At 45.1% G+C, this 17,381-nt stretch overlaps 1 protein-coding gene across 8 annotated transcripts in view; it reads left to right on the forward strand.

The window, feature by feature from the left end:
• TTC17 (tetratricopeptide repeat domain 17) overlaps positions 1 to 4,736 on the forward strand; it is a 136,012-nt gene extending 131,276 nt beyond the window's left edge. For all 8 annotated transcript variants that reach the window (NR_164823.1, NR_164824.1, NM_001376525.1 and 5 more), the window contains 3 exons: positions 44 to 163; positions 1,825 to 1,968; positions 3,578 to 4,736. Coding sequence is in view for 6 of the 8 variants with exons in the window: in NM_001376525.1 (NP_001363454.1) it covers positions 44 to 163; positions 1,825 to 1,968; positions 3,578 to 3,709 (396 nt within the window). In the remaining 2 variants the exon portion in view is untranslated. The remainder of the gene's footprint in view (positions 1 to 43; positions 164 to 1,824; positions 1,969 to 3,577) is intronic.
• Positions 4,737 to 17,381: the final 12,645 nt, after the last annotated feature.

Here is a 17,381-nt window from a genome sequence, read left to right on the forward strand (position 1 = left end):
TGTTCTTGAAAGGACACCAGCCTTGGCTAACATTCCTTTGCAGAACCAGACGTCCTGGGTCCTCTCCAGCATGGCAGCCCTCTACTGGAGGGTGAAAGGCCAAGGAAAGAAGGCAATCGACTGCCTCCGCCAGGCTCTGCACTATGCGCCACACCAGATGAAGGTGAGTGGGACTCAGAAGGTGGGAACTTCTGCCCCTTTGTCCTTTCCATTCCCCATGGTTTATTCTGCCCTTTGAACCAGCCTCCCTCATGCTCAGCCAGTGAGGACATATTCCAAGGAGAGAATGGGGCAGGAGACCTTCTGACTGGGCTTGTGCCCCAGCAAGCCTATGAACTATCCCTGCTGCCTTCCCAGCTTCAGCAGGTTGGAACGTGGGGAAGGCCTTCCAGATCACTGTAAGACAGTACTGCATTTAGTCCCCTTTCTGCTGTGTTCAGAGCCACCCAACATACAGCAAATGCACTGGCCTAAGTGGGCTGACACATAGAAGTCAATCTGAATTTAGCTTGTCATCAGGGGCCTGGTGACCTCTTAGACTTGTTTTGCTTATCCTCTTGGCTTGAGCTTGCTTCCAAGCACAGAGATAGAAGCAAATTTCCATTTATTCATGTACATTGGCCAGTTCCTGGTCCTTGTCTGACTTCTACTTTTTCCACAAAAAAAAAAAAAAAAAAAAAAAAAAAACCGGCTAACCCTGTGTGACACCAGACTTTTCCAGAAGACCGGTTATTGTTATGATGGATGAGAAAATACAGTGTTTTATCAGCACATTTGTATTCATGTGTTCTGAGTTCTGCATTAATCCAGATCTTATGCTTTTTAAAGACATGGCTGGTGTCTTCTTTGTTCGTCAAGGCAATGTATGGAATGATGGAAGGAACACAGGATTTATTGTCAGGCATTGCTGAGTTTTAAACACAGCTCTACCTCTTACTAGCTTTGTGAATTTGGGCACCTTATTGAACTTCAATGAGCTCATCTAGAGTCATGCATTCTATGGCTGTCACAAAGATGGGTCCTTTCTGTTTCTTCTGTGTCTGCTACAGAACCCAATATGGCATGATACAGGTAACAGTTGCTCAAGTTAGACATTTAAAGGGAATGATATTTGTGATGATAGCAATCTTGCTACTTGTTCCATCCATCATTTTGTACTCTATACTGTTAGGCAATAGGGAAGGGCTGAGGCTCTACCTCTGGGAGTCAGCAAACTTCCCGAAAAGGGCAAGAGAATAAAACACTTGGACTCTGGAGGCCAGACAGCCTCTGGTGCACCTACTTAATTCTAGCATTGTAGTATGAAAACAGCCACAGAAATACGTAGAGGACTGGGAATGATTGTGTCCTAATAAAACTTTTTTCAAAATAGGCAGGAGACTAGGTTTGGCCTATGGGCCAAAGTTTGCCAACCCGTAATGATATAATGGTTCTTGCAGAAATTATTTTGGCTTTCTGACAGCATGACTCTAAGTGTGGTCTGTGGACAGTACACAGACTTTTTATTAGCAGTCTGCAATGAGACAAGGAGCTTCACCAGAAGAAACCAACTACATTATTCAGCAGATTGTTTACTTCAGCTGACATTTTGTTGTGTTTGTTTTCGAAGCAAGACTTCGCCAATGAAAGAAGTAATTGATTTATATTCTGGTACAAGCACCTTATCTATCACAGACCAGTAGCAAACAGCACAAAAGCACTTTGAGTGGCACTGTTCTAATCATTCACCAGGAAACACAGACTGTATTCTTTATGATCACCAAAAACAAGAATGAAAGCTCAAAACCCAATTTTCCCTTCTCACCATTCTCCTTCTTCTCCCAGGATGTGCCCCTGATTAGCCTGGCCAACATCTTGCACAATGCCAAGCTCTGGAATGACGCCGTCATAGTAGCCACCATGGCAGTAGAGATCGCACCACACTTTGCTGTGAACCACTTCACTCTGGGCAATGTCTACGTGGCAATGGTGAGATGGGGGTGTGAGCAGTATGTACCAACTCTGCCAAACAGTAGCACATCTTTGATTTCAAAACCTCTTTGAATATGTCATTGCCCACCAATTTCCTGTAAGCTTGTCTAAAATTGCTGGTTCCACCAATGTTATATTTTATGGATAAGGGTTCGAGAGGTTTTTTAAAACATAATACATGAAATTCTTCTAAGTATTTGCAACTACGTAGTTCCTCAACATGAGTTGAACATTAACAGCAGAGTCAGATTTACCTACAGTTTCCTGGAGACACCACCTGTTCCAGAAAACCTCTCCTAACACTCCATGTAGACACACATACATGCTCTCTTGCTTCCAGGTTGGGCTAAGGTACCTGTCATCGCACTCATGACACCCTTTGCATATTTTTCTTGCTGGATTTTCACTTTGTTTTATAATTTTTTGTTTAAGTATTTGTCTTTCCCTCTAGCCTACGGGCTCATTGGGGACAAGACTCCTCTTCACCTCCCTGTTCCCAGTGCCTCACAGTGTTTTTGGCACATGGTAGGTGCTCACCAAGTAGTTAATGAATGAAGAAATTCCGCTAGTTTCATGGAATACCATTTACAGAGAAAATGGCAAAGTCATCCAGATCCCTCATTCTGATCAGAAACAAGAACTGCTTTCAGAACTGAAAATCCCAGGGGGACCCCCTAAAAGCTGTCATAACCCAATTTAGCATGAGAATCATGCCATTCGCTTTCATCTAAAATGTGGCATCACACATAGGGCTAGTCCCAAGATGATCTCAGTAATGGCTTATAGAGTGAGCAGCCCTGGGCTACCAGCTTCATGTATCGTTCTTGACTTCAGAGGCGAGAAGTATTTTGCCAGGGAGGTATTGCCGAATATGCAGATTTCCCTCTGCTTCTTGAAGAATCTGTTGTTGCTCCCAGTAAATGTGAAGTTTGCTACTATGAACGAGGACTTATGTCTCTCATTTGGCTAGAAGAAGTCATTAAACCAGTAGATTTGGGCTCTTCTTTTAGAGTGTAACTCTAAGTAAAAGATTAACCTTCAATATGGCAGGGATCATTTCCCAATCTTTGTTGGCATCTTTAAATGTTAAAGAGAATTTTAAAACTCTTCAAAATGTACAAGTCCAGTTGAGATACCGGACTTAGTTTCCGTCTTTCCAGCTACATTAGAAAATTTAGGCAGATGCATAATGGGCATTTGTCAGGCACGGTTCTGGAGGTTTCTGTGAGGATTAAATGGAAGGATTTCATAAAGCACCTAGCACAGCCTGGCACACTTCAGGCACTCAGGAATGTTAGGTCTCATTATTACCACAATTATTACTGTTGCTGGGTTTGTAAAAGCTGCTCTACCCCTTTTCCTTTTGTTCTTGGGCTCTGCCGTAGTTTCCTTTGTTCATCCCATACCTCATTCCCATACCTCGGGAATGAAGGCAGCTGTTTCCTCCCAGAGGAACCTCAGAGTTTTCCACAAAGACTTAGATCCGTTGAGCAAATGCTGCGGGATTGTCCCTAGTACAGAGGTGCTTCTTGAGAAAAAAGAGGTCACAGTATATATTTAGTCTGCTGGTGCCATCCCCTCACATTTCTCTCCTTGGCCCTCACAGGAAGAATTTGAAAAAGCACTGGTGTGGTATGAATCCACATTGAAGCTTCAGCCCGAGTTTGTCCCAGCCAAGAACCGAATCCAGACCATCCAGTGTCACTTAATGCTGAAGAAGGGACGGCGCTCTCCTTAGTGCACTTCTTCCTTCTCTCTTTCTCTTTACTCATGCTCTAAAAAAAAAGAATAAGAAAAGAAACCAATCATTGTCAGTATCTACTATTAATGATGTGTGTGAAAATAACTAAGACTTATAACAGGACTTTTACATATGTGGGAATTGGTTTGTTTTTGTTTTTACGTTTCTCCTTTCCCCCAACCAACCTCAGAAGAGGCACCTTCAGAAACACACATTTCTTAAAAGGAAAGTGCAGCTTCAAGATATTGTGTAAATACTGAGCCAAGACATTTCTGGAGCTGTGCTCTGTCTCCAAAAACCTCAATGCCTTTAGGGCTTTTCTCAGTGGTCCAGCTAGCCTTCTCTTTGGAGGAGGATGAAGCCGCATTGCACATTCTCTGCTTCCTGTCGTAGCCTCTGTTGTCAATGGAAATGCGGAAGCCCATCTGGTGCCCGTCAGTGAGAAGCAACGTTCTGCGCTCTCTCCGTTAGACCTCCATGCTGTCCCCAGTCTTGTCCATTCCATGCTGCTGTGTTACAAACTCTCAGAGGTAGTTTGCAGGGGAGGAAGGGGAATATGATTTTAAAAACAAAATATTTACAACAACAAAAATTCTTAGGATCACCTGACCTTTGTAATGTTATTTATGTTGGGGAGGGAGGGGGGCTGAGAAGGGGAAATCAGCAGTGTGCAACATCTTTATAATTTGTACTTTAATTACAAATCACAAGGAAACCAATAAGTTGAAATCCTATATAACAGGTTTATATATATAGAATATGTATATTTGAAGCCCTCTACAGACTGAGTCTATGTTTTACTAATTCTTTGTTCACTGTGTTACCCATCTTGGAATAAGTTGTGAATGTCAGCTCCCTCTCTCTGAGGCCTCCAGACTTAGCTCCTCAGGAGGGTAATGAGCCAAGGTTGAGTGTTTCCATACAATGCTTTTACCTTTGATCCCAGGAGAATCAGAAACTCCAACATTTTGGAATCTTCAAGGGCACATACTGAGAAAAAAAATAAAATTGTTTATGAGCAAAATAGGTCTGTCATGTGATTTTTCTTTAGAACCTGACTAATTTGGGCAGCTGTGAAGTCCAGCTTTAACTCTGGATGTGATCTTCCCAAGCCCTACATTGGCTTTATCTTTCTTTCAGCAGCAAGGTGAGGGGAGAAAAAACAATCCATCACTAGGTTTTATAGTTGATGAACTTATTAGAATGATGCATTTAACCGGGAAAGACTTACAGTCAGCACATGTTCAGAGTTTGGTATATAATTGACCTTCCTGGCAAAGGAATAATCATCTAAGCCACAAAGTCATGGCCCTCAGGTAAGCACTGATCTTAAAGTTCATCCAAGTAAGTTTCACAGACAGCCTTGGGGTGCATCGTGTAAGTCAGGCATTCCCCTTGGGACAGGATTCCACTGAAGGCAGCATTTCTATGGACTTTGCTAGGATGTAATCAGACACTGATTGTCTCAGATAATGGCTCATGGAACTTGAAGGGTTTGGTTCTAGCAAAGACTAATTTCTTCCAAGCAGGTCTGTAATTTCTTACACCAGACATACCTGTGACCTCTCTACGCAGCTAAAGTCCAACAAACTCCAGTTTTATCAGATGTATTTTGAGAACAGCAAGCTCATTTGTTACTGAATACAGTCAGCCTTTATGCACTCAGGGATCCATCGAAATTAACTAGTATCTAAGTGTGGTTCCCTGCTTCCCCACCTCACCACAATTTTTTCCTGAAACCTTCAACAGTTGCTTGACTTTTTTTTTAAGACGCAGTTTCACTCTTGTTGCCCAGGCTGGAGTGCAATGGTGCAATTTCAGCTCACTGCAACCTCTGCCTCCCAGGTTCAAGCAGTTCTCCTGCCTCAGCCTCCCAAGTAGCTGGGATTACAGGCATGTGCCACCACACCTGGCTAATTTTTTGTATTTTTAGTAGAGACGGGGTTTCACCATGTTGGCCAGGCTGGTTTTGAACTCCTGACCTCAGGTGATCCACGCACCTCAGCCTCCCAAAGTGCTGGGATTACAGGCGTGAGCCACCATGCCCAGCCCAGTCACTTGACTTTTTAAAATTAACATACTATGAAATTCATTCTGGTGTACAGTTCTATCATGCAACCATCACAACAATCAAGATACAAAACTTTCATCACCCCAAAAAGACTCCCCCATGCTGTCCCTTTGTAGTCAAACCTCCCCAACCCTTAACCCTGGGCAACCACGGGTCTGCTCTCCCACCCCGTCACTTTTCCTTTTCCATAGTGTCATATAAATGGAATTCGGGTATGGCCTTTTGAGTCCGGCTTCTTTCCCTCAACATATTGAATGCACTTGGGGTTCGCCCATGTTGCGTGGATCAACGATTCGATACTTTTTGTTGCTGAGTAGTGTTCCATTGATTGTTGGCCTGTTGGAGGACACTGGGATGCTTCCAGCTTCTGGAGATTGTAAATAAAGCTGCAATAAACACTTGCATATAGGTTTGGCCGGGCACAGTGGCTCATGCCTATAATCCCAGCACTTTGGGAGGCTGAGGTGGGTGGATCACTTGAGGTCAGGAGTTCAAAACCAGCCTGACCAACATGGTGAAACCCTGTCTCTTCTAAAAATACAAAAAAATTAGCCAGCGTGGTGGTGGGGGCCTGTAATCCCAGCTACTCAGGAGGCTGAGGCACGAGGATCACTTGACCCCAGGAAGCAGAGGTTGCAGTGAGCTGAGATTGCACCACTGCACTCCAGCCTGGGTGACAGAGTGAGACTCTGTCTAAAAAAATAAATAGTATATAGGTTTTTGTGTGCACATAGGTTTTTGTTTCTTTTGTGTTAATAATTCAACAAATATTTTTCTACTCTGGACTTTTTTTTTTTTTTTTTTGAGACAGTCTTGCTCTGTCGCCAGGCTGGAGTGCAGTGGCACAATCTCCGCTCACTGCAAACTCCACCTCCTGCTTTCAAGCGATTCTGTTGCCTCAGCCTCCCGAGTAGTGGGACTACAGGTGCATGCCACCACGCCCAGCTAATTTTTGTATTTTTAATAGAGACGGGGTTTTACCATGTTGACCAGGATGGCCTCGACCTCTTAAAAGCAGGAATGGTCAGCCAACAATGAATGGAGGCACCTTCGAGTCGGTTTTATACAGAAGGAGTACAGGGTAGGAACAGCTACAAATCTGCTTATCTGAAAGGAAGAGGAAAGAGCTAGATCTCTCTTTGAAATGACTTGGAATTGCCTCCACAGCATTGTTGCCAGCCTCATTTCAGATGCTGCTTCAAATCAGGTGTGGTGGGAAGCTGTACTGTGTGAAGGCTGACAGACCATGAATGTGTACCTCCTGCAGGGCTGGTGATGCGAGGGCCCAGTGATGATGCAAAGGCAGGCAGCAGCCCTGCCCTGTGGGTGCCATCCTGGAACTCTATGGGGCTTATTTACTAGATAGGTCAAAGGTCTGACTCACACTAGACTTAGACACTGGCACCAACTAGCTGGGAATGAAACTTGGAGTCCAACTCTCCAGCACAAAGGGCAGCTGTTAGTGGCCTTTCTGTTCCACATACAGCAAGGGTCTGAGAGCTTCCAAGGCAGATTCCCCCAGAACTTTGGCCTCATGAGAACTTTGGCTCTGTAGCAACTCCTCTGTGGTAGGACCGTTCCTGACTCAGAGCCCGAGAATGGGTTCAACAAATCTGGGTTCAAATCTTAGTCCCGCCTCTCGTTAGCAAGGAGATCTTGAACAAGTATTTAGCTCTGAGCTGAATTTCTCACTGAAATAAAATAATCTGAGAATGATAAGAGCTACTGTTCTTCACAGGGGATAGCTGTGAGAAGTAAGGGAGATTTTTAAAATATGAAGCATTTAGCACAATGCAAACACCCAGGAAGGGGTAGCTATTGTTATTTGCACCATGTTGTAGACACTGGATATTTTAAAGAAATTTGCTTAATTTTAAACAAGACCCAGCCATTTAACTCCACCCTGGCACATCTTCCAGTCAGGCCAGCCTCACTGTTCTGATTTCCAAAGCTTTTGCTTAATCCATTCCCCATCAGATGTCCCCTCTTCTCTCTGGTTTCTGCCCCACTTCTAGGCCTCTTTTACCCGAGCTTTTGTGATGACACTGATTGATCTACATCTTCTCTGATTATCATAACAGCTTCAATTCATTGAGCCAAACAGGAGGCTGTGTGCAGTCAGAAACATCTAAGATTTATTGAGCTCTTGCTATGTTCCAAGATTATTCTAACAGCTTTACATGAAATAAAATTAATTTAAGCCTCATGTCAAACCAATGGTGTAGGTACTGTTGTTATCCTGATTGTGAGAATGGGAAATTGGAGCCCGAGATTTAAGTAACTTGCCCAAGACCACAGCTAGGAAGTGATGGGAGTCGAGGTCTGGGCCCAGGGAGTCTAATTCTAGAGCTGCACTCGTAACCACCATGCTATACACCCATTATCTCATGGAGTCTTCACAACTACAAAATAGGTCAGCAACATTATCTCTGTTTTACAGATGAGAAAACCAAGGCTCAGAGGTAAAGTAACCAGCTCATAATCCCACAGTACGTGGTAGAGTTCAGATTCAAACCCAGCTCGGATTTGCCTAACACCAACTTGGTGCTCTTAACTCCTCTACTATTCTGCCTCTATGTAGTGCTTATTTCCAGGAAGTTCCTCATTCTGAGCTGTTTCCTATTTGCTTTCAGGTGTGTTGCTCTCTCTCCCATCTGTGTACATATATGTCACATGTCTGTGTCTCATCGCACTGAAGGCGGAGCTCATATATAGTAAATATTCAGTCAATGCTAGTGGTTAACAAGCAGTGCAACTGATATGTTCCTCTGCTTCCTGCTGTTGGCATTCTGAGGGCTTTCCACCCACATCTCACAATCTTTTAGGGAACCTATCTTAGGGAAGTGAAGTATCTTGCTTTCTCTGCCATGGAACTTGAAGAAGACAAAAAGCTCTCTCCATCCTTCTGCCTCAGGCTCACTGATCTCAGTCTGGCTAGTAGAGGAAAGTGCCTCGCTGCCCATGAACCTCACAGGCCTATTCTACCCTTCACTGCCCAAGAGCTTTGCACCACTTGCTGGGGAGAAGATGCGACCACTCTGGTGTGGCCATCTTCAGGGGATCCACCCTGCCGTCGTGGTTGAGCCAGCAGCAGGGGAGACTGACTTCTAAATTCAGTTTTTGTGGTTATTCTAATGCTCAGACAGGCATCCCTAGATCAAATCCCATGTTTCCCCTTTCTGTGGAGATGTAAACAGGCAATTCCAGCTCTTTCTACAAACAGATTTAGTTCAACAAGTACTGATGTCCAACACTGGATGGGACATTGGACGTGGTCTCTGCCCTCGAAGAGGCACAATCTAGTTGGAGGGACAAGACAGAGAATTCGAAGACACAAAGTCCACTCCAGCAGAAGCCTGAATATTGAAGACCCAGAAACTGAATTCTCTGATGAATACATAGGGTCTTCTGAGGCAGTCAGCCTTGTCTAGGTGCATAAACCTCCTCGGTTTGGACACTCCAAGCAGAGTCCTCCATGGTTCGGCCACTGCCTGCCTTTCCATGCTTGTCTTCTGCCACTCATTTATTCATTCAACGAACATGTATTGAAAAACTACTATGTGCCAGGCACTGCGTTGTTCACTGCAGGTAGTTCAATATGGTGCAAGAATAGAGGGTGGGTGGAAGAGGTGCTAAGAAATGAAGCTAGGGCCAGATCATGAAAGACATCATACACACGGCTAAGGAGTTTGGACTTTGTCCTGAGTGAAATGGAGAGCCATTCCCCAGATTACACTCCAGGCTACAATTTAGGATTTCCCACATGCATCAAAATTCTACATTCCCATGGCTGTGATCATGCTGTTCCTACTACCTGGAACGCCAAATCCTTGCAATCTTCCCCCTTTTTTTCACTTATTTAGGTCTGCTGGTTTTCTGAGGCATTGTTCTCAAGATGCCATGCTTTTAAGGCACCTGCCATAATCCCTTTGGTGACGCTCATCACATTGTATTGAAATGAGCTATGTAACTTGTCCCCAATCAGATGCTTAGCTCCATGTCTAATCAATGTCTGTGTCCCTTACTTTTACAACATAAAAACCTGGCACAATGAAGTTGGTTAATTAAAAAAAAAAAGTTATTTGACTATTGAATTGATGGTTAACTGACCCAACAATACCCTAGAGAAACTATAGCAACATTGAAGGTAAGAGATTGCAAATAGGAGCTAATGAAACAGAGAGGGAAAACTAAATCAGGGAGAACTCCAGCAGATAGGCAGAGAAGCTGCTTCACTTAATCTACAGAGGTACTCCCTGTCCTCTCAGCCCATCCCCTAGCCACTCACTGCTACTGACCCATGTAAAGTATTTTGAACAGGGACAGGAACACACTAGGCAGCCAATAAATGTTAGCTCTTCTTATTAGCAGAGGACTTGAATCCTGCCACTAACTCCCTAATTCTAGAAATAAGTTACCTTTTCCTTTCTGCTAAGAATTTTGTTCCAGGCTAGGCACAGTGGCTCATGCCTGTAATCCCAGCACTTTGGGGGACTGAGATGGGAGGATAGCTTGAGACCAGGAGCTCAAGATCATCCTGGGTGACACAGCAGGACCCTGTCTCTTAGAAAAAAAAAAAAGAAAAAGTTAGCCAAGTGTGGTGGCACACACTTGTAGTCCTGCCTACTCAGGAGGCTGAAATGGTTGAATTGCTTGAGCCCAGGAATTCAAGGTTACAGTAAGTTTTGATTATGCCACAGAACTCCAACCCTGGACTGAGACCCTGTCTCAAAACAAAAACAAAAACAAAAACAAATGGATTTGGTTCCATTTCTGGATTCTGACTCAAAAGCTTGAATGGTTAGGACAGTGACCCCGGCTTTTAAGAAGGGGGGCTTTCACCCAAAGACAGCACTTAATACAAACACCTATTTCCTAAAAATAGAGGAAATTTTTCTTTATCTTTCTGTTTTTCAGTTTGATGGATTTCTTCAATTCTGTCTTCTGATTCATTGACTTTCTCTTCAGCTGTGTCTAGCCTGCTGTTCAACTCATCCGTTGAGACTTTTACTTCAGTAATGACATTTTTCACTTGCATGATTTCTACCTGGTTCCTTTTCATCATTTCTATCTGCTCATGTTTCATAATCTTTTTTTGTGTTATGGGTGCTACTCTTAACTACTTGAACACTTTCAGCATACTTACTTTTCAATTTGGTCAATTATTTCTTGTTCATTATGAGTAAGTTCTCCTGTTTGTTGGATATTTGGACTGTCTGACCCTATAGCCTTGTAACCCTCTGAGTTCTCAGTCTTTGGATCACTACTCTAAAAACTGCAATTACTTTTGCACCAGCCTAATATATTCTCTCATGTTCTTAGTGATATCATCTGGTCACATGGTTTCAAATACTATCTCCATGCTTATGACCTTCCAATTTATATGTCCAGCATAATGTCCTCTATCAGCTCTAAATTCATTTATCCAACTTTCTGCTCAGTATCTTCACATGGACTGTACAAAACAGAATTCCATATCTTCTCACAAAATTATTATCTAACTTTGGTCTTCCCATATGAGTTAGCAACTCCCTCCATCTAGTTATTCAGATCAAAAAAAAAATCCTAGGCCGGGCACTGTGTGTTATTCCTGTAATCCCAGCACTTTGGGAAACTGAGGCAGGCGGATCACTTGAGGTCAGAAGCTCAAGAACAGCCTGGCCAACATAGTAAAACCCTGTCTCTACTAAAAAAAAAGTACGAAAATTAGCCAGGCATGGTGGCACATGCCTGTAGTCCCAGCTACTCAGGAGGCTAAGGCAGGAGAATCTTTTGAACCTGGGAGATGGAGGTTGCAGTGAGCTGAGATCACGCCACTGCACTCCAGCCTGGGTGACAGAGCGAGACTGTCTCAAAAAAAAAAGAAAAAATCCCAGAGTAACTATTGATTGACTCCTGTTAAAACATAAGTCAGGTCGTGTCATTCCTCTGCTTAAAACTATTGGCTTGCAATAACATATAAAACCCTATTCCACAATGTGGCTCACCTCTCTAGCTTCATCTCTTTTAATGTCCCTCTTGCTCACTCCTCCAGCCACACTGACCTCCTGGCTGTGTTTTGAAACTTCCAGTCATGCTTATGCCTCAGGTCATCTTCATTTGCCATTCCCTTAGCTTGAAATACTCTTTCCCCAGATAGCCACTTTGCTCACCTTCTCTGTGAGGTTTCCCTAATCATGATATTTTAAATTGTGACATCCTCCTCCACAATTTCCTAATCCCCTTTTATGCTTTACTTCTCTTTGTAGCTCTTATCATTATCAAGTCTGCTGTGTATGTTACTTATATATTGTCTGTCACCCCCAACTTGAACATAAGCTTTAAGAATGCAAGATTTGGACCTATTTTGTACCCTGATATATCTCTAGCCCCAGGTACATAGTAGGTATCCAGAAAAAACTGCTGAATGAATGAATGACTGAATCCATACATAAGTAGTGCTGAACTTCCTCATATATTTTATATTTTTTGTCCTTATTCAGCAGCAGTTAATGCTTGAAGTATTTTCACACATTATGTGGGGTCAAGGACATTTCCCTACAGAGAAGTTTCTGAGGTTGTCTTTGCTGCATCCCCTACAAAGTCGAACTTTTTTTTTTTTTTTTTTGAGACAGAGTCTCACTCTGTCATCCAGGCTAGAGTGCAGTGGCACAGCTCACTGCAACCTCCGCCTCCCGGGTACAAGCGACTCGCCTGCCTCAGCCTCCCAAGTAGAGTAACTGGGACTACAGGCACGTGCCACCATGCCTGGCTAATATTTTTGTTTTGTTTCATTTTGTTTTGTAGTGACAGGGTTTTACCATGTTGCCCAGGCTGGTCTCGAACTCCTGACCTCAGGTGATCCGCCTGCCTCAGCCTCCCAAAGTGCTGGGATTACAGACGTGAGACACTACACCCGGCCAAACATGTTTTTATGTTAGTTTCTCAGCTTGGGGTTTCTACATGGCATGGAGAGCACGAATTAGGACTCAATTTTCCCACAGGTGGGAGGCTCGGGGTCCTAATAAAGCCCCGGTTGGAAAGGGGCTTTCTGGTCTGTGACTTGCCTTTGATGCCTGGCCACACCTAAAGCCTAGTTCCATCTCTCAGTTGTCCATGAGGCTTAATTCCTGTCCCTCCATGGGGCCTAAGACTACAACTCCTCAGTCCCGCAGTTACTCCCAGGCCCTGTGGGCTGTGCACCATCAGTTCCCATCCCATTGCTGGGACCTGGTAATGTCTCTTTCTTGATTTCGAGTTAGTTCTATATTTCTTGAATAGTGTGTCCTGCCCTTGTGTGTTTCGGACTTGGAGGTAGGGAACTCCAATGTGTGCTCCACGTGCTATGGTGAATGGAAGTTTGGAGGGGCCATAACCTTTTCTCCTGTGTGAGAAGCATTGCTACTGAGAGACATGAATTATATCCATCAGGAGGGTTAAAATAGAAAAACGTGTTCAGACGCACTGGCTTAAGAGCAGACCTGTGTTCTGTCTGAAGTTCACCTTCTCTAGAGTTAGGCCATGCCCTCCAACCCCAAAATTTCTGTAGATGCCTATTGCAGAAAGCCTAGCATCTCTGAAAATGTCTAGCTCCTTTGGGTAAGTGCCTTTTATTATTTAAAAATGGGCCCTGTATTAGTGAGAGTTCTCCAGAGAAGCAGAACCAATAGGGGGCGTGTGTGTGTGTGTGTCATTATAATACATATATGTCTATATAAACATAAATGATTTATTGTAAGGAATTGGCTCATACAATTATGGAAGTTTAGAAGTCCCATGATCTGCTGTCTGCAAGCTGGAGACCCGGAAAAAATGGTGGTGTCTTTCGAAGGCCTGAGAGCCAGGGAGCTGATAGTAGAGATTAAACTCCAAGTCTGGGCTGGGTGTGGCGGTTAACACCTGTAATCCCAGCACTTTGGGAGGCCAAGGCAGGCGAATCACACGGTCACGAGTTTGAGACCACCCTGACCAACATGGTGAAACTCCATCTCTACTAAAAATACAAAAATTAGCCCGGCATGATGGTGGGCGCCTGTAATCCCAGCTACTCAGGAGGCTGAGGCAGGAGAATTGCTTGAACCCAGGAGTCGGAGGTTGCAGAGAGCCGAGATTGCACCATTGCACTCCAGCCTGGACGACAGAGCGAGACTCCATCTAAAAAATAAAATAAATAAAATTTAAAAAAAAGTCCAAGTCTGAAAGCCTGAGAATCAGGAATGCAGAGGGCAGAGGAAGATCAGTGTTCCAGCTCAAGCCATCAGCTAAAGAGAACCTTCCTCCTCCTTTCTGTTCTCTGCAGGCCCTCGGTGGATTAGATGATGCCCACTCTCATGAGAAGGGCCACTTGCTCTACACAGTGCACTGACTCAAAGCTAATATCCCCCAGAAACACACTCACAGGCACACCCAGAAATAATGTCAAACCAGATATCTGGGCACCTCATGTCCCAGTCAAGTTGACACATCAAATTAACCATCAGAGACACAAACCCCTGTTGAAATGAAGGCCTTTACCACAAGCTAACTTTATACAAATGGCTACCGGGAGCCCGGGGGTTCCCCACTAAGCCCTCTCCAAGAGTTTTGAGAAGTGTCCCAAGTTGTGCTCCCTACTCATCCTCTGTAAAGCCGGATGCTGTAGAGAGGGGTTTCCATGGAGCAAGGGCAGTGAGGATGAGGGGCTCGACTGCTGCCAGGCACCAGCCATCTCTAGCTCAGGGACAAGGGATCAATATACCTTCTGCACATTGCTTTCCAAATCCTGCAGGTGGCAGCTGGACACAAGGCTGAGGCTCTGAGGCCCAAACTCAGCCACTAAGGGGAGGACCCTGTAGCATGCCAGGTGATGTGTTTTTGGGCACCGTGATGCCCAGTGTCAGGGGAGCTCACAATTGCTGTAGTTGCAAAGGACAGAGAAGCGAAAGGAGAGGTGGACGGAGCCTCTAGGCCTGCCCTGTCCAGTACAGTAACCATATCTGCCACTAACCATGTCTGCCTATGGACATTTACACTTAAATTCATTAACATTGACTAAAATGTAAAATTCACTTCCTCACTTGCACTCACCACATTTCAAGCACTCGGCAGCCACAGCGGCTCCTGCATTGGTCAGTGCAGATATGAAACATTTCCATCATCAGAAAGTCCCATGGGATAGCATGACCCTGAACCGTGAGCTCCACTACCCAGACTCATCCCTGGAGCTTGCCCATCCAGGAGGCCCCAAAGCAGACCTCTCCATGCTGCCGTTTTGAGAACTAATTACTGCTCCCTGAGCCTTCTCCTTCCAACCTCAGGGCTTTGGAATGTGCTATCAGCTCAGCCTAAGACGCCCTTTCCTTCAGATCTGCTTAAACAGGGAGAGCCATGCCAGAGTCAGCGGTACCAGCCCACATCCCTTGGCATCCACTTCTATGAGCCCAAGACTGCAGACCACACAGACAGGGACTGAGGGCTTGGTTCTGATTGTGGGAATGGCCTTTGCACGGGTGGGCAGTACTGGAGAGCTGGTGCCCCCAGAAGCACCCCTTAGTCACCAACAGATGGGTGTTGGTGGTGTTAAAGCAAAAACTTTGGCCAAATTACATTTAAAGGAGTTTAATGGAGCAATGAACGATTTGTGAATCAGGCAGGCCCCAGAATCACAGCAGATTCAGAGAGACTCCAGGGGTGCCTCATGGTCAGAAGAAATTTATAGACAAAAAAGGGAGGCGATGTACACAACTCAGAAGTGAGGTACAGAAACAGGTGGATCGGTTATGGCATTTGCCTTATCTGAACACAGTTTGAACATTCGGCAGTCCATGAGTGGTTGAAGTATGGCTGCTGGGATTGGCCAAGACTCAGCTATTGTTACAGATGCATACTCCTAAGTTAGGGTTTCAATCTTGTCGGCCTATTAAGCTATGCTACAGTTCATCCACAAGGACTCAGAAATAGAAGTAAGGAGTCCTTCTCAGGCCATAGTCAGTTTGCTTTAACAGTGGATAGGTACCCCTTTGAGGAAGATCACTCTGAGGTGTGTTCTGTATCTTCTCCCAGAGCTTCCCCCACCCCACCAACCTGAGATTGAGCTTCTGTTGGTCCCCGGGGGCAACTGGCCTGATAGGACATCTTTCACCGGCTTTCTCCACTTCCCCGACTGGTGTCTCTTCAGGTCACCTCCCAAATAAATGACCTGCACTTCAATTCTTAGTCTTCTTCTGGGGTAACTTGAGCTAAGACAAGGGCCTGCTGTGTGCCAGACACAGTGGTAAGCATAATTTAAAAAGAGGTTTAAAAAGAACTAATGGGCCAGGCGCGGTGGCTCACCCCTGTAATCCCAGCGCTTTGGGAGGCCAAGGCAGGAGGATCACAAGGTCAGGAGTTCAAGACCAGCTTGGCCAATATGGTGAAACCCCGTCTCTACTAAAAATACAAAAATTAGCCGGGCTTGGTGGCACGCACCTGTAATCCCAGCTACTTGGGAGGCTGAGGCAGGAGAATTGCTTGAACCCAGTAGGCGGAAGTTGCAGTGAGCTGAGATAGCACCAATGAACTCCAGCATGGGCGACAGAACAAGACTCTGTAAAAAAAAAAATGAACTAATGGACTCAGTTCTTCCTTCATGCCTCATGAGTTTGCAGTGAAATGCACAAGGCAGGCAGGAAAAGATGCAATCCAGAGCCTGTGGGGTAACCGGCTCTGCCCCAGGAAAGACCCCAGCACAACCTAGGAAGGGGAGAGGGTTAAGAACAGTTTCTAGGGCTGGGTGCAGTGGTTCACACCTGTAATCCCAGCACTTTGGGAACCCAAGGTGGGTGGATCACTTGACGTCGGGAGTTCAAGACCAGCCTGGCCAACATGGTGAAACCTTTCTCTACTAAAAAAAAAAATGCAAAAAATAGCCAGGAGTGGTGATGTGAGCCTGTAGTCCCAGCTACTCAGGTGGCTGAGGCAGGAGAATCACTTGAACCCGGGAGGCAGACATTGCAGTGAGCCAAGATCACACCACTGCACTCCAGCCTGGGCCACAGAGCAAGACTCCATCTCAAAAAAAAAAAAAAAAAAAAAAAAAAAAGAACAGTTTCTAGGAGGGGGACAGTTAAGCCAGTGTTGATAATTGAGGGAGGAATAGGAGCTCTGGACAGAAGCACTCCTAAAGAAAACGAATGGGGAGCCGCTGACATCGTTCAGGCTGGGTATAACATGATTGGACTGATACTTCACAAAGACCGTCCTGGCAGTGATGCAGAGAAGGGACCACGGGGGGGCAAGGATGAAAGCTCAGGGTCCACCCAGGAGGCTGGTGCAGGACTGCTGATAAGGAGAGAGATAAAGCACAAGTAGGTAGGGCCCAGGCACTGGGGCTGGGCAGAAGATGAAGGATGAGAGGAGGGTTGATGCAGGACGGTTGCTGGGACCTGATGATCACTGAGCCACAGAGGCTGAAAGAGGCAAAGGCTTCAAACGGATTCCCAGGTTTCTGACTTCAGAAGCAGGGTAGATGGTGCTGCCATTCCCTGCAACATAAAACACAGGAGGAGGAGGAGTGGGTTTGAGGGAAAGATGATGGCTTTAAGTCTGAACATGGTTTTGAGGTGCCTGTAGGCCAACGGTTCTCAAACTGTGGTCCCCAGA

The sequence above is a fragment of the Homo sapiens genome, chromosome 11, assembly GCF_000001405.40.
Source record: "Homo sapiens chromosome 11, GRCh38.p14 Primary Assembly".
Lineage (NCBI taxonomy): Eukaryota > Metazoa > Chordata > Mammalia > Primates > Hominidae > Homo > Homo sapiens.